General features: G+C 39.9%; 1 protein-coding gene across 6 annotated transcripts in view, besides 1 other annotated feature; it reads left to right on the top strand.

Annotated features, from left to right (window-relative positions):
* PRKN (parkin RBR E3 ubiquitin protein ligase) overlaps positions 1-27,709 on the top strand; it is a 1,380,350-nt gene that overhangs the window by 1,180,809 nt on the left and 171,832 nt on the right. The window lies entirely within an intron of this gene.
* Positions 12,951-13,142: a silencer, noted in NCBI's record as "fragment chr6:161954848-161955039 (GRCh37/hg19 assembly coordinates)". NCBI's record gives its function as "represses an EF-1alpha promoter that drives an FKBP-Casp9 reporter gene in an ReSE screen in phorbol 12-myristate 13-acetate-treated (for megakaryocytic differentiation) K562 erythroleukemia cells {active_cell/tissue: K562(+PMA)}" and the evidence as "EXISTENCE:reporter gene assay evidence [ECO:0000049][PMID:32094911]".

Raw genomic sequence — 27,709 nt, 5'->3', positions numbered from 1 at the left:
CAAGGTAGCTCATTCACATGACTGTTGGCAAAAAAAGTCCTCAGTTCCTCACTGGCTGTTGTCAGAAGGCCACAGTTCCTCACCACATGGCCCTTGTCTTAGGCTGTTTGTCCCCATGATGGCAGCTGGCTTTCCCCAGAGCAAGTTGTCCAAAAGAGAGAACAGAGAGAAGCTACAGTGCCTTGTAGGACCAAATCCCCAAAGCTGCACCTGTCACTCTCACTTTATTCATTAGAAGTGAGATACTAGATCCAGCTCACTCTCAAAGGGAAGGGAGTTGGGCTCCATCTTAAAGAGTGTCAAAGAATTTATGAACGTATTTTAAACCACCACAGTTTGCAATTTGAAGAAGCTGAAAAAAGAACAGAGAAGTGATTTTCTAAAGGATGCACTGAACTGTATGCCTTCCTTTCCCTCCCTGTCTTTTTGCCCCAGTCTCCATACACTTTTGCAAGCTTATGTCCATTCCCATTGCTTTGGCTTCTCAGCAGAGATAAATTGATTTCATCATTGCCCTTTGTCTTCAAATCCCAAACTTTCACAGAAGGATATTCACCTAACTTGAATGCTAAAGGAATTCCACAGTGATTTAAAAAGGGTGGCGTTGAATGTGTGAAGTTCAAACCCTGGCTTCACAAACTACTTGTGGTTTTCATCTTTCTCGGTTTCCTTATCTCTAAAATAGGGTATATATGAGCAACTCTGTATAAAACTATTGTGCATACTAAATGAGATAATAAGTGTAAAATACTTAGAATAGTTCCTGGCACAGAGTTAAGTGCAGATTTATTTAATATTTAATCAAAAGCTTAATGAATATTTATCCAAAGCTCACCCAAAAACCCAACATTCAAGGAAGATTGCTTACATGGCATTCATTGGATATACTCTTCCAAATAGTCTAGAATCCAGGATGTAGTCAGATCTACGGCAGGAAACTGGGCACCTAGACCTTACTATTTTTAGCCTTTCAAATAATTGCTTTTCCTAAATACTACTTTGCCACCATGCCATTTGTTTATATTGTGATCGTTACACAGGAAATGTGATGCCTGTGGTTCAGGACATCCCAACAGACTTTTCCACAAGGAACCATGGTGACTATTCAAGTCTGATCTGAGTACCAGGCACATTTATGCTTGTCCTGAGGAAAGTTGCCTTTAAGGATGTTAAACCAGCTGATAAGGTTTTCCTCTGACAGTTGACTGCTAGAAAATCTAAAGCTACATCTGTGGGCTCCCTATAGCATATATAGAGGTCATAAACACAGTGGATTTGGAAACTGGTTTCCTGGCTTTACTTGTTTCCTTCTTTCTCTTCCCCTTTTCCTGATACATGTTGTTTTGCTGTGGTTTGTATAACCTTGTAAGCTGCCCATCTTTTCTGGGTTTAAGGAGTGTAATGGAAAGCCATTGTCTGGAAGAAATTGTGGTTAGATTATGTCATTTCAGAAGTAGAACATGGCCAAATACATAAAAGTTAGAAGAAGGTGAATCTCTTTTTACTCTTTGCTCTCACAGTATGGACAACGAAGAACAAAATAAGCTGCCTCAGGGAGAAGTGAGTGCCTCATTCAATACATCGTTCAAGGAAAAGTCATTGGTAGCAAAGCTATAGAAGAATTACAGAGTTCCAGATGTGGAAAAAGCCCTAGACGTCATTAACTCCAGTGATTATCAGGATGTGGTTCACAGATTTATTGTAAGATGCCTGTGAATTCACCCGTGCTTAATTTTTTTTTCCCTCAATTATCAAGATAGAAAAAGTACAACTCTTACCATGTGGGTATGCAAGAAATGTTAGCTGTTACAAAAAAAATCGCGTATAAAAAAGTTGAAAACCAAATTCTCTGTCATTTGTGGGATTTAAAATTGTTCGGAGCTAGACACCCATGTGTTGAGCTCTGGGCTCCAGAGGATTCTAATCTTCTAGTCATTTCACCCACGACCATGTACCTGGGTGGTCTTCCGCACAGCTGTGGTTTCTGTTGTATATCCTTTCCATTTGAAGGCTTCTGTGTCTTTAGTTCAGCTTCTGTAAAATAGGTGCTATAGTTAGTATTTATGACTCTTTTGTTCAAACATATGGGAATGTCCATTGGAAAATCAGATTCCAGACACTTTGCTCCACTGTGTCACAGGCTTATCTGTTCCCCGAGGAGCAATGTACCTTAACTAATAAATGAAGACAGGGATTTCCATTTAAGTGATGATGTCAGTCCACCTAGGAAAGGCCTGATAAATGTGGGGTGGATCCAGTAAATTTATTACCATTATAAAGAATTATTTGAAAGTACTACCTCCCAGAATTCAAGCTGCAGTGTTACAGTGGTTTCCTGTCTTTATATTCCTGTCCTAAGCCTTTTCATTCTTCTTGGTGAATCATGTATTTGGTGTTTAACATTCATCAAATGTATGAATGAATGAATGAATGAATGAATGAATGAATGAATAAAATAAATGGTTGAGTGAATCTTAATAATCTAGGAGTAATATCAACAAACTATTACTTTTATTTTCCAATATTAATCATCATTTATCCCAGTATTAGAACTGCTTACCTTGCCCCAACAAAGAGCTCTTTGAAAAATACGTAAGCACCTTTATATACTTATACAATATACAGTGTTTTAATAGCACACATAGTATATAATTCAGAAAACCAAAATAACACTATGTTCAGGGATCCACAAAAAGTCCATTAGAAACCTGAAAGTACTGCAGAATTTACAGAATTGGTGTGCTCTATCAAAGGCTACATACACGGCCAAGTAAAGAGTACATTCTGATATGTAAAATGTCTTACTCTTGGGAGAACTGAGATTTCAGTTTTGACTCAGCACAGAATATTTTTACATAGATAGAACGCAGCAGAGAATGTATTTTGGTACCAAATACTAGTCTAGCCTCACTCTGCTAACCCTAGATCCTATTTTTACTACTGCTCATAAAAAAATTAATTGATTTCCTAAAGAATTCATGTTATGCATTATTCTTTTTTTCTGGCCTTATTGCTATTCATCAGAACTATCTCACAAACTTTAATGACTCCGATGCAAAATGCTGACGTGTTTAGTGCTGGAAAACAGCAACAAAATATGGAATACATTATACTCACTGACCTGGGAATGCAGAAAGCTATGGCAATCAAACCTTCTGAGTTCTCTATAAATAAAACATCTTTATCTTATTTGATATTATCTTGGGGTATTACATGTCTGGGTGATAATTTATTAAAATAATGATTTGAAGTTGGATAAGGAATTTTCTGTTTTTAATTAGAAATCCAGAAACAAAATGTGGCAACTGCAGAAAAATACACATTTAAATGAAAATCGAATTTCAAAAATCATATTAGTGACCATAAGTTAAGGAAATGCGATAGAATTTCTTAAGGCATCTAACAGTCACTCTGTCCTTAAACAAACACCATGCTGTGTCGCTCGGAGGCAGGTTTGTCAGGGAACTAATGAGGCATTCACCTTGGGCTCCTCACTTGCATGGACCCTTTCCAAATCCTCTTAACCATGTTCATCTTCTTGCATTGGTTTTCTTAAAAAGGGTTTCGAAAATTATAAAAATGAAGTTGTAAAGCCTCCCTCAAATGTGGTTTTAGACCTGTGCAAATACAGGATATGACCTACTTCGTGCAAAGAAACGTGTATATGTTTTTGGTGAAAATGGTTATTTTGAACGACTTATCACAACAGCATTAAAATACTGTTGGAGGTTTTAGTGAAATGAGAGTCTGAACCTCATTTTCAGCCTTTAACGTAGGAAAGGAGTCAATGAAGATAAATTATGATGATACCTACCCTTTTACTCAAAGATTTAACTAATTATTGAGTTTAAAATCCAAATTAACAAATAGATGTGAAGCTCTTTTTTCAATAGGTGGACCTTGGAAAGAGAAAACATGTAGATGATCAATATTTAATAATAAAAGGAAAAAAGAAAATGGTTACTTTTCTTATTCAAGCCAATTTTAATTTATTTTTGTAAAAATATGTAATTTCATTAAATTATGCTTAGATATTTTTTAAACCATATTGAGTTTTTTTAAGACTAGAGATTAAAATCTAGTCTCCAAATATATGATGTTTTCAGGGAGACATCAGAAAGAACAGGTGTTTCTCAGGATGACTAACTGTGGGTTCATGAGCCTTCACTCCAGCTGTCCCCATGTAAGTTTGCCTCAACCGCCTGGACACTCCAGCACATAGAGACTGGAATCAAATCTTGTTGGTACTTTAGGCTTTGATATACAAGATGTTCTTCATCAAAGAGCATTTTAAAAAAGAAAGTTGGTGTTATGAAATGTCAAAAATATGCAGTCCATGTTTATTTGACATGTGTCCAAAAATCTAATTTAAACTCTAAGATCAGCTCATTTGCAGATTGGAAATAAGCCTCGCTAGACTTTCTGCCTGTGAGACAGCTTGAAGTGCAAAGATGGAAAGCTTTGGAGAGTATTTATTTTAGTTAAAGAAACTGTTCACAAATGTACAAACAAGTTCTGCATACCATTCATCTGGAAAGCATCTATCAGTTGGCAGACATTCCTAGAAAGTGTTCCGTGATTTTGAGGTACAGCTGATCTTTGATGAGCTACGGGGAGTTGAGGGGTGCCAACCCCTCCTGCAACTGAAAGTCGGCAGATAGCTTAAACTTAACTACAATGATCCACTGTTGACGGGAAGCCTTGTCAATAATATAAATGGCTAATGAGCAGGTATTTTGTATGTCACATGTATTATATACTATATTCTTATGATAAAGTAAGCTAGAGAAAAGAAAACATTATTAAGAAAATCATAAGGAAGAGAAAATGTATTTTCTGTTTACTAAATGGAAGTAGATCGCCATAAAGGCCTTCACCCTCATCATCTTCATGTTGAGTAGGCTGAGGAGGAAGAGGAGGGGTTGGTCTTGCTGTTACCGAGGTGGCAGAGGAGGAAGAAAATCTACATACAAGTGGACTTACGTTCTAATACATGTTGTTCAAGGGTCAGCTGCACATAGAAAAGTATATTTTTTAACCCAACACAGACCACTAGCTATTCTTATTGTCTTTAGCCAGTTTTTGTTGAAATAAAGGTAAATATGAAATAATTATACTGTTTTTTTTTTTTCTTTTTGAGACGGAGTCTCGCTCTGTCACCCAGGCTGGAGTGCAGTGGCATGATCTCGGCTCACTGTCACCTCCGCCTTCAAGGTTCAAACGATTCTCCTGCCTCAGCCTCCTGAGTAGCTGGGATTACAGGCACGTGCCACTACGCCCAGCTAATTTTTGTAAATTTAGTAGAGACGGGATTGCACCATGTTGGTCAGGCTGGTCTCGAACTCCTGACCTCAGGCGATCCACCCTCCTCAGCCTCCCAAAGTGCTGGAATTATAGGCGTGAGCCACCGCACCTGACCAATAATTATACTCTTTCAAAATCGTAAGATCCATCTTTTTGAATAATGTGTTAGAAAATCAGTTTTATGGCAAATCGATTGGAGAAACTTCTTTAGCTTTATAAGCTGCAGAGAGCTCAGAACAGTCCTGAAAACAGACTTCTTGTGAAGATTGCATTGTTTCTGTGTGGAGAGCATTGTTTCTGTGCATTTATTTTGGTCGTGCTCTGACCTCTGTCTGGGGCTGTGTGTCTGACATGGCAGCCTTTAGCCACATATGGCTATTTAAAAGTAAATATAATTAAAAAGTCAGTTCCTCAATCACAGTAACCACATTCCAAGCACTCAGTGGCCATACATGGCAAGTGGCTACTGTATTGAACAGTGCAGATATAGCCCATTTTCATCACTGCAGAAAGTTCTACTGGACAGTTCCAGTCTGGAAAAGGACAGGGACGTCTGTCCAAGGAATAACATTTGCAAACTCAGGTTTCCTGTGTTTTCAACACAAGCACTTTGAGCTATTCAGCTGTAGTTGAGGGAAAAAAAGAAAAAAACTTTCCAGAAATAAAGCAATTTCTTGACTACAAAAATATAGAGCAGCATTTTCCAGAGTACGGGTCATGCAATCCAGGTTCCAACAGATGCTGCCAGGAGCAGGGCAGGAGTTGGGGTACAGAGAGGTGGAGCAGAGAGCTGCAATCCAAGAGTTGGAGGCACCAGGTAAGCCAGATTAAACCAATTTCTTTCCTATAGGACTTAAAACTTTCACTATGCAAAGATGTATTGCTTGAACAAGCAGAACAGCACACTCAGCATTTCCTAAACTCTGTAGAGCAAGAACTACCTTTTGTGTGGTACATTTTGTAAGACAGGTGTTTTATGAAGCAACTTGGGATTCAGATGGCTTGCTTTATTTTTTTAATCCGTAGTGCTGAGTTGCATACTGCTAGTCACAATGAGCAAGTGATACCCAAAAATCAGAGCCATTAGGCCCACAATAGTTCATTTCTGTAGAGAACTAATGAAAGTATGACTTTTTAAATTATATGGTTTATTTGCCTCAAATGTATTTTTGAGACTACAATTTATTTTTACAGTAAAATCTTTTTCTTTCTAACACTGCCATTGATATATATTTTTATGGGTTTAAGATCAATTAGAGAAGATGGGATGAAATTTTGTGATCGTGTATGCTTAGTAACTCTTCTTCCAAGGGTTAATTAAATGAATATGAGAGATTTTAAAATTTCATAGAATAACTTATATAATGATAAATAAAATATTTTCATAGGGCGAGTGTCACCATGTGTCAATCTCAAAAACATTAACTGCATGGGGCATTATGATAATAACAACAAAAATGACATGTAGATTGTGTTTTTGTTTTCCATGTCAGAAGAAGTGCTTCTGCAAACAGTGAGAACAATCCTAAGGATGTAGTGCTTGGGTCCAGTCCAGCTGGGGCAGACCTGGCGGCCCCCCACCAGACAGGCAGCTTGCATCTCCCCAACCCCCAGCATTCTGAATGGTGATCTTCCCCTTTCCAGCACTATTTTGTAATAGATAAAAATATGGAAACGATCCACTTTTCCATAGTATTATAGCAGTTAAGTATGTTCTTGACATAATTATACAGTGGAATACAATACTCTGTTATGAAGAGTAAGGTCAATCCGTGTCCTGATACGGAATCACTTTTAATACACAGAATGAAGTAAAGACAGCATGAAAAGGGGATCCATGCACATGAGCATATAAGATATTTTCTGGAAAGAATCAAAGACACCCCGGGAACAGTGGCTGCCTTTGGGTAGAGGAAGTGATGATGTGAGGGAGGAAGCTTTTACTTTTCAGTTTATAACCTTCTAGAATGTTTGAGGTTTCTGAACATGTAGTTGATGGTTACTTAGGGACTGAGTTTATGAATTACTTTTTTTCTTAATTAAACTTAGTAATGTTACATGTTAAAAATAAAAGCAATGTGACCAATAATTATTATTAGGTAGAATTTTACACCTTTTTAGGCAAAGTGTTTCTTTGAGGTTAAACTTAGGGAGAAGGAAATATGCTTTTCACTGGCAGAGACCGAGGGCACAGAAACCAACTCCGTGAAGGCTCGCTGCTGTTCCAGAAAGAGCCAGGCATGCAGGTGGTGGTCCGGCTGGCCACTCTTAAACCTGGAATGCGTCAGGAGCAACTCTCCTGTCATACCCATGTAGCTGAATGTCATTTTTTAATGAGAATGAAGTCCACTGGGAAATTTAATTTACCTTCGCAAAATAGGGTCTCTGAAACATGTCACCAAATGTATTGAGCAGCCAATGCAAATCAGTGATGTTTTAATTAAATTACACAAAATGTTTAAATAGTTTAAATAGTTCTTACGTTATAGGAAAACGTATCCCAATGCAACTTTGCACATATCTGTATTCTAGCAATCAACTTCCTACAGGGGATTTTAGTGTTGTTTTTGTTCAGCTAGTGCCCCTTGGGGGTAAGGGCAGAGATTGTCTAGCACATGCCAAGAACATCGCATGTTAGCCTCATGGCATGATGAAGAAGCAGCACGCCCTCACTCTTCACACGAAACAGGAACACCAAGGTCAGCGCTAAGTACCTGCTGTTATTCCTGTTGTTCATGACATTTAGGCAGAGTTCAAGGGAGCCCACACAGAATGAGCACTCAGGACTAGAGTGACAGGCATTTCTCTCGCTTGTCCAACATTCCACTGGGAAAGGCTAAGTCGATCAGTTATTCAATCAAATCTCTCTACAAGCTCCTGGGAGGTAATAGGGCTTTTCTTGGGTAAAGACCAGCCAGTCCCATGGGCACTGGTCTCCAAGGATCTGCAACAGATGTAGAAATCACATTTCCTGAGATTCCAAGAAATGCAGCCATTTTTCCTCCTTCTCCGCTTGGCATCTCAGTGGGCCCCAGGATTCTACCAGTTGAAGTCCTCAAAGACTCACTTTGGCCTCTTTTTGCACCAAGAAGTGGAAACTTGAAGTGTCCCCTAGGCAAATCTGATCTGTCCTGGCTTGACCTTTAGTCCCACCTCCCCTAAGATTTGGAGGTCCTTAGGAGGTACACCTGGCAGAGCTATCCAAGCCTACCATACAGGCCTTTGTCCCCACTGTCCATTAAGAAGTTGAGGTTGTGGATAGAGACTAAGAAGGAGATTTCTTAAAGTCCAATTTATTTAAGAATTTTTTTCAAGGAGAAGAAAAATATCAAGTAACTACAAGGCCATGGGTAAGGCCCAGGTCAAATGTATAACCCTTGCCTGTCTGTTTGCCCATTCTTGAACCAGGATCAGAAGAAGTGTACAAGTGAGAAGGAACCCAGTCAGAAGCAGATAAGCCTCACTCTTGCACTCTAGGAGGTAATTTGTCAAGCGGGCCTATTGCTGCACTTCCAAAAAGCAATTTTCTTCCTCCTTTCTGTAGAAGAAGGCCAAGAATGCCTGTTTCTTTATCCAATCAAAGTTGCCTGTTACTCTCCTTCAGACAGAAATAATATTGTTCCTGACACACATCACATTTTTCTTCACAAAGCCGTGTTGGTTATTGACCAGAGTTCAGGGACAGTCTGGGAATTTGATGCCAAGCGATTTTTTCCCAATTCCTCTCAAGGTATTAGTGCTAAACTGGCAGGGCTGTAATTTGGAGGAAGTCTGTGTTCACTCTTCCCGTGGCCGCCTCCCCATGTAGACAAACCCAGTCCACTTGCAGAATGTGACATATGCCTAAAGAATTCTTACACACATTATCAAATGCAAGCTTTTGATTGTGTCCTAAGAATTTGAGGCCGGGCGCAGTGGCTCACGCCTGTAATCCCAGCACTTTGGGAGGCTAAGGCGGGCGGATCACGAGGTCAGGAGATCGAGACCATCCAGGCTAACATGGTGAAACCCCGTCTCTACTAAAAACACAAAAAATTAGCCGAGCATGGTGGCGGGTGCCTGTAGTCCCAGCTACTCCGGAGGCTGAGGCAGGAGAATGGTGTGAACCTGGGAGGCAGAGCTTGCAGTGAGCCGAGATCACGCCACTAAACTCCAGCCTGGGCGACAGAGCAAGAATCCATCTCAAAAAAAAAAGAAAAAAGAAAAGAAAAAAAAAAGAACTTGAAGCATTGTTCTTTATTTGTACAAGCCTGCATTTTGACTTGCCCTGATTATCTGAAGGAAATAGAAGAGATAGTCCAGTCAACTTATGTTAGTCATTTGCATCAGAAATAAGATGAAATTTTATTTGCTAGATTTTTAAAGAATGTAGAGCTTGGAATGGATGTGTCCTGAAAGAGAAATTTCCCAGTGATTAATCAACCTTGTTTAGACCATTCATTTAAATGGTTTTACATGTAAATAGGAAGTACGTAGAAAAGCTATGTGTTCAGAAGATAGCTGCTATTTGGAAAGAAAGAAATCTAAATCAAAGTAGGCTTCTCAAAAACTCTTTTATGTGAAGACATGGCTGGGCTTTGTATAAGCAGTATTGTATTGTTGTAAAGTTCAGAAGATGCTTAATCAATAAGAAAAGTTGAAGTAGAAAGATAGGATTAAAGAGATAAGATCTTTGTTAGACTAAATCTATTGACCCAGAACTTCCTGTAATGGGATGGATGGGAACTGCTTCACATTGTTAATGTAACAGAGGTTTTCGATCTCAAAATTGCTGTTTGGAGGCTATGTCACTGTGTCTATTTTTAGTTTCTTGGTCTAAAGAAACCAAAGATTGTTTTTGCAAGACCTCAGAAAAGCACAGAACTTCCCTTGTAAACATGATTTAGATAAAACACTTACTGGGTATGCTTTTAATATTCTGAGCATCACATTAAACGTCACTGATGTATAATCAGAAATCTGCAGGGACACAAACTACCTCAGAATGTGAATAAAATAGCCAGCATGAAACCGACTCTATAGGCTATGCACCTTCCCTGTACAAACAGAACTGCTTGCTGATAGAGCATGACCCCCAGCACCTGGCTGGCAGCTGGCAGGGGTAAGTTTCTATCAGGTCATGGTTAGAATCTCTGTGTGCACAGCAGACAGACTGTACACTAAAATGTCGGTTTCCCTCCTGACGGCCATCTCCCCCTTTCTCTTGCTAACAGAACAGATTTTTTTTTTTTTTCAAGTGTGGACCAGTTTGGGAAATGACCTCATTTTCCGGGTCAGTAGTGAGTTCTGAGTAGTCTAAACCAGTCTTGCTAATCCCTTGACCCTTACTAGTGATCAGGTTTCAGAAGATCCAGGCCCTTCTAGAGTTCATTGCCCTACTGAGTTCATCAGCTCTGAAGCCACTCCATGGTTGGACTGCCTGTCATGGGATATGATACATTTCCTTTCTATTTAAGCCAGTTAAATTGGGGCTTTCTGTTTCTCCAATCAAAATCTCTTAATGGGCACACAGGCATTTATTTCTCTTAATAATGACCAAAGGAATTCATTTACTAAGGACTTTGGGCAGATATTGGGGAAAAAAAAGAAGTATTTGATGAGAGCGTTTTAGTAGCAAACAAAATCACCTCCAGATTATTATATTCCATAATATGGTTGTGTCCACTGTAACTGTAATCAGCAATAAAAAAAAAAAATCTTTTTGTTCCTCTCTGGCTAAATGGATTGTAGTAGGCTCCATTATATTATTCTGACGTTAGTTCCGTGGTGTGTGGCCAGTTCCTAAGACTGCAGTGGCTTAAGGGGATGGGAGTTTATTTCTCTCTCTCATAAAATGTCTGGAGCTGGGATGCTCCACTCCACCAAGCCTTTAGTTGCCCTCATCTACATGGTGCAAGGTGGCTCAGCCCCAGGTCCACTTTTCAACCAGAAACAAAGGGGAAAGAGAAGAGGACATTCCCAGTCTCTTTAAAGGTCAAATCTGGAAGTAGCACACAACATCGTACTCGTATTCCGACAGAGAAAAGTTACTTGTGAGGCTACATGGCCAGCCCCCAAAGCAGTTGGGAAATATCTGTATTCGGGGTGCGATGTGCCCAGCTAGAAACTGTTCCTATGAAGAAAAGGGCAAATGGATGATGAGCGGACAAATGTCAGCCTCTGCCTCATCTGGTGTCTTTTCTGTCTCCTTTTATCATTACTCAAATACCATTCACTTGTGTGCAGTCTCAGAGTTTCATATTTTCATGCAGGAAAAGAAAAAAGTCTTCTGGCATGAAACTACTTCTTTTTTATTTCTAACAGAATTGAGTATTTCCTTGGTTATCTTTTTTTGTAACAATATATATTTTTCACTTTCCGTATTCCCAGGCATGAGAAATTAGACCTCTAACTCTCAATAATACCCGTAAAATTGTATTCGCCCCTTCTATTAAAAGGTGTTGCCACAATAACCTTCTGAAGTTGTGCAGATAAATAGAGTTTGCATTCAGTAGTGCCATAAACTGAAAGCAGAGGTACAATTCTAGAAAATTCTCTAGTTCGATTGACATTTACACCTGCTGATTATTTTGTTCTCATGTCACATACAAAGGCACTACTAAACCATGTAGAACCACATGTACCACAGACTAAAGCTTTTGGAGTTACAAATTGAATGTGGTATTTCACGTAGCACTTGAAGTAATATCAGCTTCTGATTTACATTTCTAACAGAAGTCCTAGGAGTTTTAGCTTTTATTCTTCTACCGCAATCACTAGAAATCACGCTGTTTTTAGCAACTAAGCTGTACTCATAAGAAACATGCACCAAGGGGGAAAATTCAGTATATTCTTTCTTATATTTAAAATAAATCAGTAATACTTGTAGGGGAAAATTGTTTATTCTACATGCATGAATTGGTTATCCAGCATGTATGTGGCTCTCTGCTAGATGCTACAGGCACACAGAGGTGATGTCACAGCCACTGTGCTGAAGAAACACGTCATCTAATGGGAAGACAAGACATGTCTATGCGAAACAGCATAGCCGCATGGCAACACGTAACTGTGCAGGGGAATGTCCCACAGAAATCCAGGATACTTAAGGGCCTTCGTACCCAGTTTCCGCATCACCTTGAACACATCTCATAGTCACGTGTATCACATTGCTCGTGTGCATACCACTTGCCCACACGTGGAGCTGCTGTGGGGCCGCTGGTGGGGTGAGCAGGAGCTGCCTTCTATTCATTTTTGTATCCTCAGCAACGATGCCTGCATTCAGCACACTCATCGTTGTATCAATCATGAATGATGCAGTGAGAAAGGAAAAGGTTTGGAATCAAGAATGGGGAGCTTCATTAAGCGCACTGAGGGATGGAGAAATTTGACCTGGAAGTGGTGACTGAAATATTTCAGGCAGAAGATTCTGGAACAGAGTGAAGGGACAGAAAGCTAGGCAGCTGCAGAGAACACGGCCAGGGAGGAATGATTAGCCGACGGAGAGGAGTCGTGGGCTCATGGTGCCTGATCAAGAGCAGGACAGGGAAAGGGAGTCTGGCCCTGTGGGTTAAGGATTCAGTACTTCATCCTGCAGACAATGGAGGCCAGGCAAGGGCTTCCAGGGGAAGTGACATGATCAGATCTTTTGGAAAAAGTAATCTAGTGTGAGGGCGAGGAGGACAGGTGGAAAGGGGGTTCACTGAAGTCACAGAGACCACTGTGACGGCGAGTGTCGTGTGAATATACAGCCTTCCTACCTTATAAAACAGGAATCGCTGTTTATCTTTTCTCTTCCTACTAGTGAAGCAGCATCGTAGTCTAGGGTAAATCCCCAGGGTTCCTTATCTCACGCCAAGAAAATTAAGTACACAGACACGTGGGTGGGTTAAGGAGTGGAAAGTTTAACAGGCGGAAGAAAGGAGAGAGGAGGGCAGCTCCTTGCAAGAGAGAGAGATGTCTGAAAAAAAGGGTTAAGGTGGCAGATCCCAGCAGATTTTATAGGCAGGCTTGAGGAGGCAGTGTCTGATTTACGTAGGGCTCACAGATTGGTTTGACCAGGTGTGACGTTTACTTAGCACGCGAAGAAGGCTGGTCGCCCCACCCTAATCTTATTATGCAAATGGGCTTTCCACTTGGTGGGGCTATCTTGTCTGCTCCTTACTGGACACGTGGCTGGCAAAAAGAGAAGATGGAGCCGCCATTTTGAACATGGCTAGTCCCAGGTAGTATATTCCTACGGGCACAACTGCCAGCATGTACCTGTGCAAGCTTCCAGCATGCTTGTTTGTGTCTGCAGGTCGATTTTACAGGCTGCTCTTTGTTGGAAAAGAAAATGATTTGGGGGCTGCTTTTCATTAAGAAGAAAACCTTACTGAGGACTTCCATACCCTCACTGCCCAAGTAATTTCTTTACAACTCCTGTATCACTAGTTTTTCAGAAATTATTTTAAGAATTTTAGTTTTGTAATATCATATGCATTTAAGACTAATACCTCAGGGATGTGGAAGATTTAGATCATTCTTTTATTTTAGAGATTATTTAGAAATTGAATTCATAACCACTCTCTGTATAATGTTTAATAGCTAATATGGTACACTATAGAATATTTATACTCACCCATCTTTATTATGCTGCATAATTTGCTGCCTTTTTTAAATCTAAAAATATGAGTTTAATATTTACAAGTCTGAAATAGCAAATTTTCCTTACTGTTTCCTCAGCATCCACCATGGTATCCAACATACATATAATTGTATAAGAGGGTTTCATATTGAAAAGTCCCGCAAGTGACAAGATTTGTAGATTTATAAGAGGCTTTCTACCAGTATTTGAGAAGTGGTGGCAGGTATAAAGGGTGGACAGTGACAGCCACCCTTCTTGACTCAGATATCCCAGCATCCACGTGCATGCACCAGTGAACATGAAAAAGTGAAAGACAGGAAAGACCTTCTGACCATGACATTCCAGCCATATTACCACGTGGGCGTCTCTCCCGTCTCGTAACCCATGATTTCTATTTAGCAAGGATGTTTTTTCCTCAACTCATTTATTCAAAAATACAAACAAAAGCAAGTAAAAAAACCCCACAAAGCTAATTTATAACAACCCTAGATATTTTCAATGTCTCTGGAACATTTAACATTAGTACACTGGGAATCACAGCCTACTCTGGAAGAGATAGAGTATGGAGTAAACTCCTGAGTAGGGAGCTGGGTCCAGACTCAGACACACACACTCACACACACACACTACATACATACACCCACACTCATACACACACAGCCATATACACACTCCTGCTTCACAAACTAGATCCAGAAATAAATTTACCATTTTACCAATGAAAAAGTTATTTTTTTGCTTAAGTGAACCCTAAAACTTGCGAATTTTAATTTTAATCCAGTTAGTTTTACACAAATCACAGTCTCTAGGCAAATTTTTCTGCAAGAAGCATCTTGTACTTATAGACACATAGATAGATTATATATATATATATATATATATATAGAGAGAGAGAGAGAGAGAGAGAGAGTGCAAGACAGAGATAGGATGGATAGATTGATTGATTTTTAATAGAACTAATCATAGTGAAAATTTTAAATTGAAATTAGTTTTTTGTTTCAGGGAAGAGTAGGATGGTGAAGATTTGCAAATTTTTACCCCAAACTCCTTCTTTATTAAATGCTTTTGGCATCTATCTAATTTCCTTGTAGTGCCTGTATCTCTGGTATTTGCAAAGACTTTTTCTATGTATCCCTAAAAGTGGGATCCATTGTAACAGTTCCAAAACATTCCTCAAAGCTGTTCTTTTATAATCTAATCCTTCTCATCCCTGAGCACCTCCATTTCCCAAGCCTGGATAATAGACGCAGGTAATCCACCCGCATGTCTGATATTCAGGTTTACAATTCCCTTGCTGGTAAGACTGACATGATTTTTTTCAGAGCACCCTGACTCTTTCCAAGGAATAGGTGCCCTAGAGCAGCAGGGACAGTGCTCCTAAATATCCCCTACACGTTTGCAGCGTATATATCTATGTCCACTCACACGTACAAGCCCCCTAAAGAGAAAATCTTCTCCTTTGAGCCTATTTTGGATTCTGCCCAGGTTCCTTTCTTTGGGATGGTCTTACTGGGCCACCTACCTTGGGACACTTTTAACTCATTTAGTTGACTTCTTCCAACACTGGGTCATTAAAATGTGGGAGTGCATCAGTTTCCTCAGCAATGTTGCTGTGTTGCTGGGCGAGGGTAGGGGGTGGCGTTCGCACAATTAATTTTTTTTTTTTTTTTTGAGACGGAGTCTCGCTCTGTCATCCAGGCTGGAGTGCAGTGGCATGATCTCGGCTCACTGCAAGCTCTGCCTCCCGGGTTCACGCCATTCTCCTCCCTCAGCCTCCCGAGTAGCTGGGACTACAGGCGCCCGCCACCATACCCGGCTAATTTTTTGTATTTTTAGTAGAGACGGGGTTTCACCATGTTAGCCAGGATGGTCTCGATCTCCTGACCTCGTGATCTGCCCGCCTCAGCCTCCCAAAATGCTGGGATTACAGGCGTGAGCCACCGCGCCCGGCCTTGCACAATTATTATTAAGGCTGGGCAAATGATGGAACTTACGGAACTTGCATTCAGGTAAAATAAACATTATTATCAGATGGTGGAGTGCTATGTTCTGTTTGAAGCAATAAAATATCCCGTAGGTAGTTGAAAATATGAAACTGAAATTTGATGTGTTAGGATTTTGGTAAAGATTTGAATTATCATTAGAAAGAAATTGTTGAAGCTCTCTAAAAATTGGTCTGTTCTCTGAAGTAGAGCAGCATGACAGCCTTTTTCTCTTAAAAGAAGCAAGCCTTGGGCCAGGTGTGGTGGCTCACGCCTGTAATCCCAGCACTTTGGGAGGCCAATACGGGCGGATCACCTGAGGTCAGGAGTTCGAGACTGGCCTGACCAACATAGAGAAACCCCGTCTCCACTAAAAATAGAAAAAAATTAGCCAGGCGTGGTGGTAAATGCCTGTAATCCCAGCTACTTGGGAGGCTAGGCAGGAGAAGCGCTTGAACCTGGGAGGTGGAGGTTGCGGTGAGCCGAGATCATGCCATTGCACTCCAGCCTGGGCAACAAGAGTGAAACTCCATCTCAAAAAAAAAAAAGAAAAAAAGAAAAAAAGAAGCAAGCCGTATAGGTCTTCTTCGACACGGAATGAGGCTGCTCCAATTCCTGCTGGTCTCCAGAGCAGTTAAGAAAATGGAAAGGGCAATTTCTTCTAAAAGTATGATTTTTCAAACCAGGGTACCTGATATGGAAGATGATATGCAATGTCACAGGAGAAGGTGCATTTCCCTAGACACTGGGACAGGTCTGGGTGGGGAATGATACTTTTATATTGAACCAAACACGTGAATCTTCAAAAAATGTCTAAATTTACAACCCTTCCTTTGGACTATGACCTCCAGACAATCCAAGTAGTTTTTGTTCTCTTTGTTCTCTTTCCTGTGCTGTCCAGGAACACCTGTGAGGGAGAGTTTGAGAAGTGTCCATTTAAGTGATGGCAAGAAGCCCGTGTGCACAGCCACGGCCCAGTGAAAAAACTGTTGGCTAAAACATCAGAGTGGTGTGAAATGAATGAGGGTTTTTTTTTTAAATGCTTCTTAAGTAAAATGCTTTTGCTGCTCTGTTGTTTTTATAACATGCTCAATAAGTTTCACTACTCTACAAAGTAGATTAATGTTCCTGTGTTATTTTATTATATATGCCGTGGAAAAGGAACTGGTCCCTCAAGGATTGACATTAATTTGTGTCAAGTGGTATTTTTCTTCATCATCAAAATGTAAGCAATTAAATCTCCACTTCTCAAATGTGAGAAATATATGAAAGAATGTGTAACCCATGAAAAATTTTCCAGCCAGAGACAAAAATCAGTTGTACCAATAATGTTTATAAATCTTTTTTGATTTCAAAACTATTTTTGTGTCTTATTTTGCAGAAGACAACTTATATGTAGGACAGCTTCTTCCAAAACAGCCTCACTTAAACTGAGTTGCCGTAATCCTATGAGTAGACTATACTTCGTCCAAATATGGAGGTTTAGATGTTTTATTACTGGAACTGAAACTGTGTGAGTTTGAAGAGAAACCAGCCATTTCTCTGTCCCATTGCTGTGAGATCATAAGTAAGCCATTTCACCTTTCCTGTGCCACTGTTTCCCGTTCCTCTACAAAAGGAGGCCTCTTCCATCTCTAAGACTCGGAGCTTTCTTGCATGCTGGTATTGACATTACCAGAGCAGATGGGCTAATGTGTGACTCGCCTCACTAAGCCTGTGAACTTGGTGCTTACTGCGGCCCCAGGTGAGGCAGCTGGAGGGACACAGCCGTCAGCCACAACCAGGTGTCAACATCATCCCCATCATTGTCTTCTCACCTTCCCTAAGGCATCCACTTCCAGCAATCACTCATCAAATCAGATATTCGAAGATGAGACTCTTGCCTTTCAATACCCTAAATTTCACTGGAACAGGAAGGCATGCGGTGACTAGGGAGAGGAACGCAGCGTAGAGTCTGTGGTTGTGGCTCGTATATCTCATAGACATAAGACAGCTGTTTTAAGTAGCAGACTCCTAAATTAAGATATTCAAACAAGACTGTTGTTGTGAATATCAATGCAATAATTCAAATAAAACAAAGCAGGATTCCTGCCTTCTAAGCTAGAATCATGAGTCAGGCAAACTTTACTTCTTCGACCCTTGGTACACGGTATGAGGCCCCAGAGAAGGCCTTATTTATTTGGCTCCTTTTTTCAGTTGTGGCTTAATTTCCAAGAATTTTCATCCAGCCTCTTAGATTCTCATTGGACTTCACCTAATCATTCAAGACAAAAAGTCACCTCCCCAGGAGATAATTATACCATCTCCTGAGGCAGTGTTTAATTCCTTTTACTGACAAGAAGTTACTCAGTGTCTAACCTCAACCCTTTACTGCAGAAGTCTCAATCCCATGTATCTCGCAACAACTTTTCACAGCATTCTTGAAAGCAATCAGACGTTAAAAGTATGGGTGTGCCCTGGAGTCAGTTGCGTGTTATATGAGGGGGCCCTATTTGTACACAACCCCATTTCCACTTGGACACAGTTGAGAAAGACCCTGCCACTCTGCTGTGATTTCTAGGATCTTTTCTCAATGGGAGTTCTCCAAGTTCCTGTCTTATTTCCCATTTTCACTGGGGTGCTGGTGGATATTATTGAGGGCTTCAAGACTGCTCACCTCTCCAAAAGGGTTAAGGCATCACCTTTCCTTCATGGAAGGGGTGGAGGAACAGCTCCTGGAGTGTATGAGAGGCCACATTGCGTTCCCACAGCTGTGCACCCACTACAGCTATGGAAGACTCTGTTTCTTTAACATATCAGGAGATATTTGTAGCTGGGAGGTTTACCAGTATTCATTACTAAACAGAAAGAGAAAACCAAAAACTACCAATCAGAATAAAATCCTGTCTCAATATGACATGGCTAAGTAAAGTCACAAATGAAAAATCTTTCCCCTGAGGATTACTTTAACAGTGACATTTTATGCATATATTATATCTATGGAAATTCTTCTGTCCCACAAATATATGTTAAGTATTTTGAAGGAAGAAAAGATTTCTATCTTTTCTGTCTTTTCAATCTCAGATTAGGGGAATTTATTCAAGTTAACTCTAAGTCTCTGGGGACTAAGTGGGGGGAAAGAAATGTTTAAAAGCAGTGCTGTGTTAAAGGAGGCAGTAATGCCTGTGGCCTTGGGGTAAACTGAGCTGACCTAGAGAAACGGTGTCTGTGAAGGTCCATCAGTCTCCCGCAAGGGTTCTTCAGACAGCTGATTCAGTGGCACTGTCAGAAAAGAGACTCCAGCCCTGTAGAGGCCAGTCTAATAAAGAAGACTGGAGAGCCGGAGAATGTTCTGATTAGCAATAGCTTGGCCTGACTAGGAATATTAGAGCATCACGGAAAGAGGAAACTCTCATTCTAGTAGTAAAAGGAAGTGCAAGGGAAGAAGATGCAGTGCGTGTCCTCTTTGCCTCCCCACCTTTTAGATTTTACAAGGTGCTACTACCCATGGGCAGATGTTCCTCACTCCACCCCTCAGGCAGAGAGAGGCCACAGCACTTGGTAGCAGAAGGCATCTTGCTGTGAATTAGAAGGCACCCCTCCCTCATGTGGGCATAGCATCCAGCAGGTTGTAAGGTTCAGGGAGGGAAATGCCCTGTTTCCCAGCCCTTCTGGCCTTATAGGTGGAATTGTTTGTGTGAAGCACAAATTACAGAAATGTACACCAAAGCCCTGGCTCCAAGTTCATACTTGATGCCGTTGGGGCTCAAGACACTTCACCCCAAAATATGATGGTAGGAGACCAGAACATGCCACCCCAGAATGTACTTCTTTGGCATATTTTGAGCTGGTTATTCTGAGAAGTTGCAGACACAGAAGTGCCTCTGAATAGCTGTTCTTTTGTAAAAGAAATCTATATCTATAAAGGAAAATAATTGTCATAGGAATCTCATGAAACAGAGAAGATCTTATCACAGGAGGTAAGATTGGAGGTGATACCTTACCCAGACAGACTCTGTCACAGGTGATCACAGATTCTTCTGAGAGATGCACTGAAACAACTTTTACTACTCCTGAGGCTTTCTATCGGTATAACAAGATAGCCTTTGTTCATCATACATTTCCTCCCCTCACCTTTCCATAACCTGTCACCACCTCCCAGCCAGAGACCCCAAACCTCTATTCCTTTCTGTAGCCCAGGGATTCTATATAAACTCCAATTACCTACCCCTTCTTTGAGCCTTATATTTTGAGGGACTCTCATGCATATGTATGTAATAAATTTGTATGTATTTTATCGTGTTGATCTGTCTACTGTCAGTTTATTTCATAGACTACATTATCGAACCTTCAGAGGATAAAGAAAGTCTTTTCTGTCCCCTACAGTGCTTAGCAAACATTTGCAAATGAATGGATGAGTAAATGTAAAATTATATCAGAGGGTTTGCTCCTCATGTAGCAATTACTGATGCTTTGAGATTTTATTTCATTATATTTATTTATATTACTTATATTTATATATATATTTTAATATTTCTATTTTATTTAAGATGTTAGCAGAGCTTCTAATGGTTATAGCATGTAAACAAGAAAGAATTAGCAAGACAGGACAACAAAAAAGAAGACAATAGGAAAATATCACTTAATATTTTAGTTTGTGTGCATTCGAGAAACTTTTTGCCCATTGTTGTAGCTTAGGTACTTTTCAAAGTAAGCAAGAAGCAATTATTCAATACTCAAGTACAATACAATAAGCAACTGTAATCTGTTGAACAGGTGTGTTTGTGTGCACGCACATGCATGTGTCTGAACACATGAGTGTCTACTGGAGGCTGGAGCCAGCTGTACCAGGTTCACAGGAGCCAGTTATGCACATCTTTTTCCAGCTCCATGTTCAGCAACTTCATGTTGGCAGCTTGAAACTGACTGTGATGAGAGTATTTATGGGACTGACCTTTTTTTTTAGGAAGGTTGGAAAAGAGCTGGTTTATCAGCCCACTATTATATGTGAGTGATCATTTAATTGTATTCAAGCAGTGGTCTTTAGAAGATACACAATACTAAATTGCTTATATACACAGATTTGGGTTACAGGCAACTTAAACCTATCTTTCAGTTAATCTTTTCTGTTATATTTGTTATATATTTGAGACATTGGTATAATTAGATTTAAAATATTTGATACCCATATTAATAACATTATCTAAGTTATTGGGTTGTTTTCCAAAAATTACTTTAAATAATTATTTTTTATTATATCTGTAGGCTATTCTATAGCCAAGTAGTATACAGAACATTTTTAGCATCTATAATTAGAACACCTATTTCCAGATTAACATAGAAGCATTTCTGATGCAATGCGCTGAATAGAATAATTTTTTAAAATAGTATAGCCTTCAAAGATCCCAAGTACAGGGATACTAAGTGCAGGTAGGTTCTCTTGTCTCTGTTCATATTTTAATACTTAGGCTCCGGGAACTGCCTCCTACAGCCTTCTCATAAACTAAACTTTTCCTCTCTTTGCTTTCTGATCATTTTTCCTTCTCTGATCTTATAATAAAAACATCCCTTAAATTCATGCAGCACCACAGTTCTCCTGCTCCCAATATCCCTGACCTGTTGGCCCTTTTATTCCAGTATTTAGAGGGCAAAGCTGAAAGCAAGATGTTGGAGTGCAGGGAGAAGAGATCAGAGCAGCCTACTCACTGGCAGGCTAGGCTCCAGGAGGAAAGTCCTCAGGACCTGGGAGAGGTGGACCCTCATCTCCAGGCCCAGGAACAGGACAGGTGACACTCCTAAACTTTCTGAGGCTTGCAACTCTACAGAGCAAATTTTTAGTGTAAGATTTGTTGTCCTGTTTTATAAAGGATGGCTTTATACTATATATCCTTATGGCTTCACCCGTCCATCTCACACAGAACCCTACTCACACACACATACACACACACACACACACACACCTTTTAGAAAATGAATGAATGTGTCAACTCAAAAATCTTATTTTCACATTAAGAGATGAAATATCATTTGCTTAGGCAGAATAGAGGTAAGAACAAGCTACAACAAACATATTTGATGTTTTGAAATGTGTAAAAGATGTAAGAAATTTTAAAACCAGGCTGCAGAATTTCACATTGTTTCCTGTGATCTCCTACATCAAACGGATGCAAGGACAGCAGCCAGCCCTGCTCTTCTGACAGGCTCCGTCCTGCGTACACCTACTCATTGGGAAGGAAAGCAGATGAGTGTCTCCCTCCAAACTCTTACGATGTTGTGCACTGATAAGAGGTGAAGGTATAATTTTGAAAACTTTTAATCATCAAGACTCCTTTGCAGAAATATCTCTTCACCTCCAGATTCACCATTTTTTGTTTAGTATTTGATAAATATTATATGCTATGCAAGCAGATGAGGTTACGGTTGTTTGAGGAAATTCAGCTCCGAAAAGCATAATCCCTCTGGAATTCAAAACCTTCAATTTAAACTATTTTTGGTTTTAACTATTGTTGAGTCTAAAGATAGTTTTGAGCCTGGGCAGCATAGTGAGGCCCCGTTTCTACCAAATATACTAAAAAAAATTAGCTGAGCACAGGGGCATGCAGCCGTAGTTCTAGCTACTTGGGAGACTGAGGCAAGAGGATCACTTGAGCCCAGGAGTTCGAGACTACAGTGAGCTATGTTCATGCCATTGCACTCCAGCCTGGGCAACAGAGTGAGACCCTGTCTCTGGAAAAATAAAAAAATAAAATATAATTCTGAAATATCTTCCTATAGATACACAAAACAATTTTTTTCTATTTGGGAGCATTTCATTCAGAGCACTTCTGCCCAATATTATATGGAGTCATTTTTCATGGGTGCTGGAAATACAAGACTGGACCACCCTTGCTGCTCAGGGAGTCCACGATCTAAAATAATTCCAACATCCTTTTGGAAGTGCTGTGATAGATCTATGCACAGAAAGCTGGTATTATTTTCTTGCCTTTTCACAAATAGAAAATAGTGGAAACAAGGGATTTTTATGTTAAAAAATATTTAATGAAAAAATAATGAGAACTATCTGGATAGGAAAAAAAATTTTTTTAATTCATGGATTGAATTGTGTTCATTTTTTTCCTCTTACTTCCCAAGTGATACGGGAAATGTTATTCCCAGTCTCTCTCTTGCTGAGAGGCTCTCCTCTGGTCACAGGTGCTATCCATGCTTGATGGGTTTCTCAGATGGTATTTTGAAAAATGGTTTGCTTCTGTGTTCAAATGTTTTGCAAAAGAAGAAGAAAAACAGTAACAGGAGGGAGAAGAGGAGGAACAGAGAAAGATAAAAGGATACCATTTTAAGATAAATACTTACTTTCCATGAAATTGATTTATAAAACAATGTCACCTCATCAAACACACATGAGATAGGGGAAAGACCTTTTTCATCATACAGTAAATGTTAGCAATAGGGACTTTTGACAACATAATAATGATAGCCTTATGAGCTGTCACATAGCTAGTTCCATGGTGAAGTGTTCATGGTAATGACCAATTGAGTTATTTTGCGATTTTGTGTCTAATGCAAAATGACACCATGAAAAGCATTGCAATTGATATGAATCGCCATTGTCTGTGAGCAAACTCAAGTGTGAATCTACTGTGTCACTTTTTCTGTCTCTATCTAGAGAGACTCTAACAGGAGATACATTTGTATTTTTGTTACATGTGAACATATTTTATTCTCAATTTATGTATGAATCCCTGGCAATATGATTGATAAGAAACCACACTGACTTAAAATAAACTGATGTATCAGTAGATATTGCCAAAACGTTTTATAAAAATTTAGTTATCTCCCAATTTTGTAATTGGTACATGAAGCTGATTTGTTATGAGAATTCCTATCAAAAATATTATCCTAGCATAAATTATCTTAGCATAATAGATACACTGGATTCAACCATGTCTTTATTATGGAAAAATAAAATAGAAACTAATATTAAAGTATGTACCAAAACATAATGCATTTAGAGTTTTTTTTTAAAAAGCAAGAATATATTTTTCTTGCATACAGGCTAGTGTTAGGAGGTGGAAATTTAAAGGGCTTCCATTTATTTTGTCTTGCATAGCATCAAAGATAGATAAGTAAGTTTGAACATGCAAACGTGAAGTTACCTCTTACTTTGACCTTCCTCAAACATAGGTATACAACATCTGTCATCTAATGTTACCTATTTCTTTATTGATACGATGTCACTGGGCTTTTTGTTTGTGTCTTTGTGATGGGATTGAGATAGAAGGGAAGTACCCTACACAGGACCTCCGTTCACTACGGAAGGGAAAGACACATGAATTGAAACTGATGTTCACAGATAGGACAATGCTGCTGTCATCTTTGCATTACATTTTCTATTATCCTTGGTCTGACTGTTTACTAGAAACACCAGCTTTCTCTAGCCTCAAGACAGTGAGAATGTCTTCTGTCATGTACTTCTCGAAGCTGTTGCAGTGCCCTGTAGGGCATTCTAGCTGTTGTCCTAAATTGAGATGACAGTGTTGCTCATATTAAATTGCCTTCTTGCTTGGCTTGGCATGCTGGGATCCATATCTATTAATGCAGGAGTGTCCAAATGTCCCGCCAGGAAAGCAATTTGTTCCTCAGTAGGGAGTCAGAGAAGCAGCTGGTCTAAGAAACCATCAGAGGTGATGTTGGGGGGCAAGTTGTGTTTTTCTTGATTTAATGGAAAATTCTACTGATCCATCGCCTCGCTTGTCCTCACCACTTGTCAGCAAGGCAGCACATATCCATCTTCAGCCCTCTCCTCTACCTCCCTCGCCTGTCATCGGTCTCTTGTGGGGAGTCAGCCCTTCACACAGCCCAAGCTTTGGAATAGGCATTCTGACAACAACAAACACTTTATTAATGGATTTTTTTAACGTGCTGGGGAGGTAGCACAATTTGGCAGCATTCGGTTAAATATCACGTTGAAAACCAACTCGGCTTTTTAAGAAACACCTCTCCCAGGAGAACATTATATACACACACACCGCATCAATATTCGCCGTCCACATCCGTTCTGCCACCCCTCCCAGCCCCAACAGAGCTTTCTCTGGAATGAAACTAACAAAATTCAAGATCCTCAGTTTGCATCTCTGTTCTGATGGATTACATGTCTGATAATCAACCAGAATGTCAAGTCAAGAACAATGATTGAGTATCAAGTGCATGTTCACTGGGCATCAAGTGCATATTCATTGCATGCAAGGGAGGCTTGTCTGGAAGAGGCCTAATGAGCAAGAAATGTTCACCTCAGCTCTCACGGGAAAGCTGTTTATGGCCCCAGTAATCAAACTGAGAGGCCAGATAATCCAAAGATGAAAATGGACCTCCCAAATGGGTCAAGCTGAAGACCAGCCAGCCACTCCCTGACCTTCAGAGCTTGCCACGTTAGTAATGTGTATAATAAAGTGTTGCTATCTTAACATCATGGGACTATTCAGGATACTTTAAAATGTAGCAGTGAAGCTTATATGAAGTGCACAGTCAGTGGTTATCTTTCATTTCTTTGAGGGCAGAGTTTATTCAGGTTTTTGCTCAAATATGAAAATGACATGTTTAATACTTAAGAAGAAAGCAAGCTTCCCCAGGGCAACCACTGTATCTTTAATGCACTCTTCTGTGCAGTTGAGTTTCTGCATAATTTCCATGGAACTTTAACACAATGGGATTTCTATCCTAATTTTATGCTTTGCTTTCGGTAATTTGTCAGACCTGCAACAATGGATGAGCAACAAATTCTTGGAAATGAAAAATATGTAATTCCATATAGTGCAAAATGAATATATGTAGGCAAATGGGTAATACGTTGCTCATATATGGTCACTGTTTGTCACTCTCTTATTCTTCATTTTCTTGAGAACTAGAAGTCTCCTGCTTCATCAACCCAACCTAAGACTCACCTCCAACTCTGACACTGTCTAATAATTGTCAATCTTTGTAGCTCTCTTATGACTTTGAGATCCTGCTGAGGACAAACTCATTTAAGACCCGGGATTAATAAGAAATCCCTCTTCACATACGGGAGAAGAGGCCAGTAAACATGAGTTTATTCGTAATAATGACCAATGATCTTGTTATATGTTTAATTAAGCTCTGTAGCTTTGTGTCTAACTGAACCCTGATTTCAAGAAGCATTTATGGGTATTGACCCTATGTCAGATACTAGGTAAGCATCTGTGATACAAAGATGACTATGCGGAGTTTCTTGTGTCTTTATGTAAAATGTCTTCACTACATTTTGATTTGGAAGAACAGCTTTCTCATCATAAGTCAAGCCTACTCATCAGCATTGGATTTCTCTTTTATCATAATAAAGGTATTTTGAAGATTCATCTGTAGATTCATGAGCCTACTTTCAAATATGTTATTCAAGTCACCAATTAAATAAGACCCAGGACTCAAACTTTAGGGAATCTTTAGCTGTATCCTCTTTGTTGATATTTAGCTATTAACTACTAACCTTTGGATATGGTCAGATTTTTTTTTCCTCCTCCTAGAATATTTCAAAATAAAGAATTAACTATTGGCTGAGCACAGGGGTTCACTCCTGTAATCCCAGCACTTTGAAAGGCCGAGGTGGGTGGATCACCTGAGGTCAAGAGTTTGAGATGAGCCTGGCCAACATGGTGAAACCCCATCTCTACTAAAAATACAAAAAAAATTAGCCGGGCCTGGTGATGGCCACCTGTAATCCCAGCTACTTAGGAGACTGAGGCAGGAGAATTACTTGAACTCAGGAGGCAGAGGTTGCAGTGAGCTGAGATCACGCCATTGTACTCCAGCCTGGACGACAGAGCAAGACTCTTTCTCAAAAAAAAAAAAAAAATGCATAGAGAGATTTGAGCATAGAGAGAAGCCAAGAAAGTGAAGAAAGCTCAGGAGAGTTTCAACCCATCATGTACCCATCATTTGTCATCGAAGACTCATAAGCATGGCCTTCCATCAACTGTGCACCTGCCTACAGCAAGAACAGGCAAACCACAGACAATCTCTACTGGTGAGGCTGTTTCTTGGAAACACAAGTTTCCTCAAGCTATTCCTCCTCCCCACCCTCAATTAATACACTTCCTCCCTTTAGAAAGAAATTAGATCAGCTTAGGTGATTTTTCTCTTTCACCTTCTAATTGTTACCAAACCCTGCTTCTTTGAGGTGGTTTCAGACTGAATGACAATGTGTTCTTCTTCTGGTCCTGGGTGTGGGCAGGAGAATAAGATGGAGGAATGCGCTGAAGGCCACCACTCTATTTCCTCTAGATTCTCTAAGGTACTCTAAGAATTGCATCGTCAATGAAGATGATGGCTAAATGTAAAAATGATCTTACCTTGCACATAAATGGAAATTATTCTAGTACACCATAAGGACTAACCTTATGTAAAATTGTAAAGAAATACGTAACAGATAAGCTCATATCTTTTTGCTTGTTTATATCTCTTCCCTTTCATGGTACCCTTGTAAGTTCTCCATCACACCTGCCTATTCCTGATCTCCAGCCCACATTCTCCTTGGGCTCAGCCCATCCAGATCTGATCATGCTGAATCCACCTGTCTTTCACTATATCCCTCCCCTCTGAGCTCTCCACGCTTTGGAGGGAGATATGTTACTACCCTGATACTAATCAAATTGCTAGACCAGTAAAAGTCTGGAGGATAAGCTTAGTGCCCATCCTGCAGAGTAATTGGCGTCTGCATTTTAATGGAGGCTCCTGTCTCCTCATTCAGAGCAATCCTGCTGGTATTTTCGACTAGATGAGGAAGGGAAATGGGCCCTTTATGCAGGCCTGCCAGAGGTATTTAAAGGTGAGC

This window comes from Homo sapiens, chromosome 6 (assembly GCF_000001405.40).
Source record: "Homo sapiens chromosome 6, GRCh38.p14 Primary Assembly".
In the NCBI taxonomy this organism is placed as follows: Eukaryota; Metazoa; Chordata; class Mammalia; order Primates; family Hominidae; genus Homo; species Homo sapiens.
The sequence above is the reverse complement of the archived record's forward strand: the minus strand, read 5'-3'. Positions and strand labels throughout refer to the sequence as shown.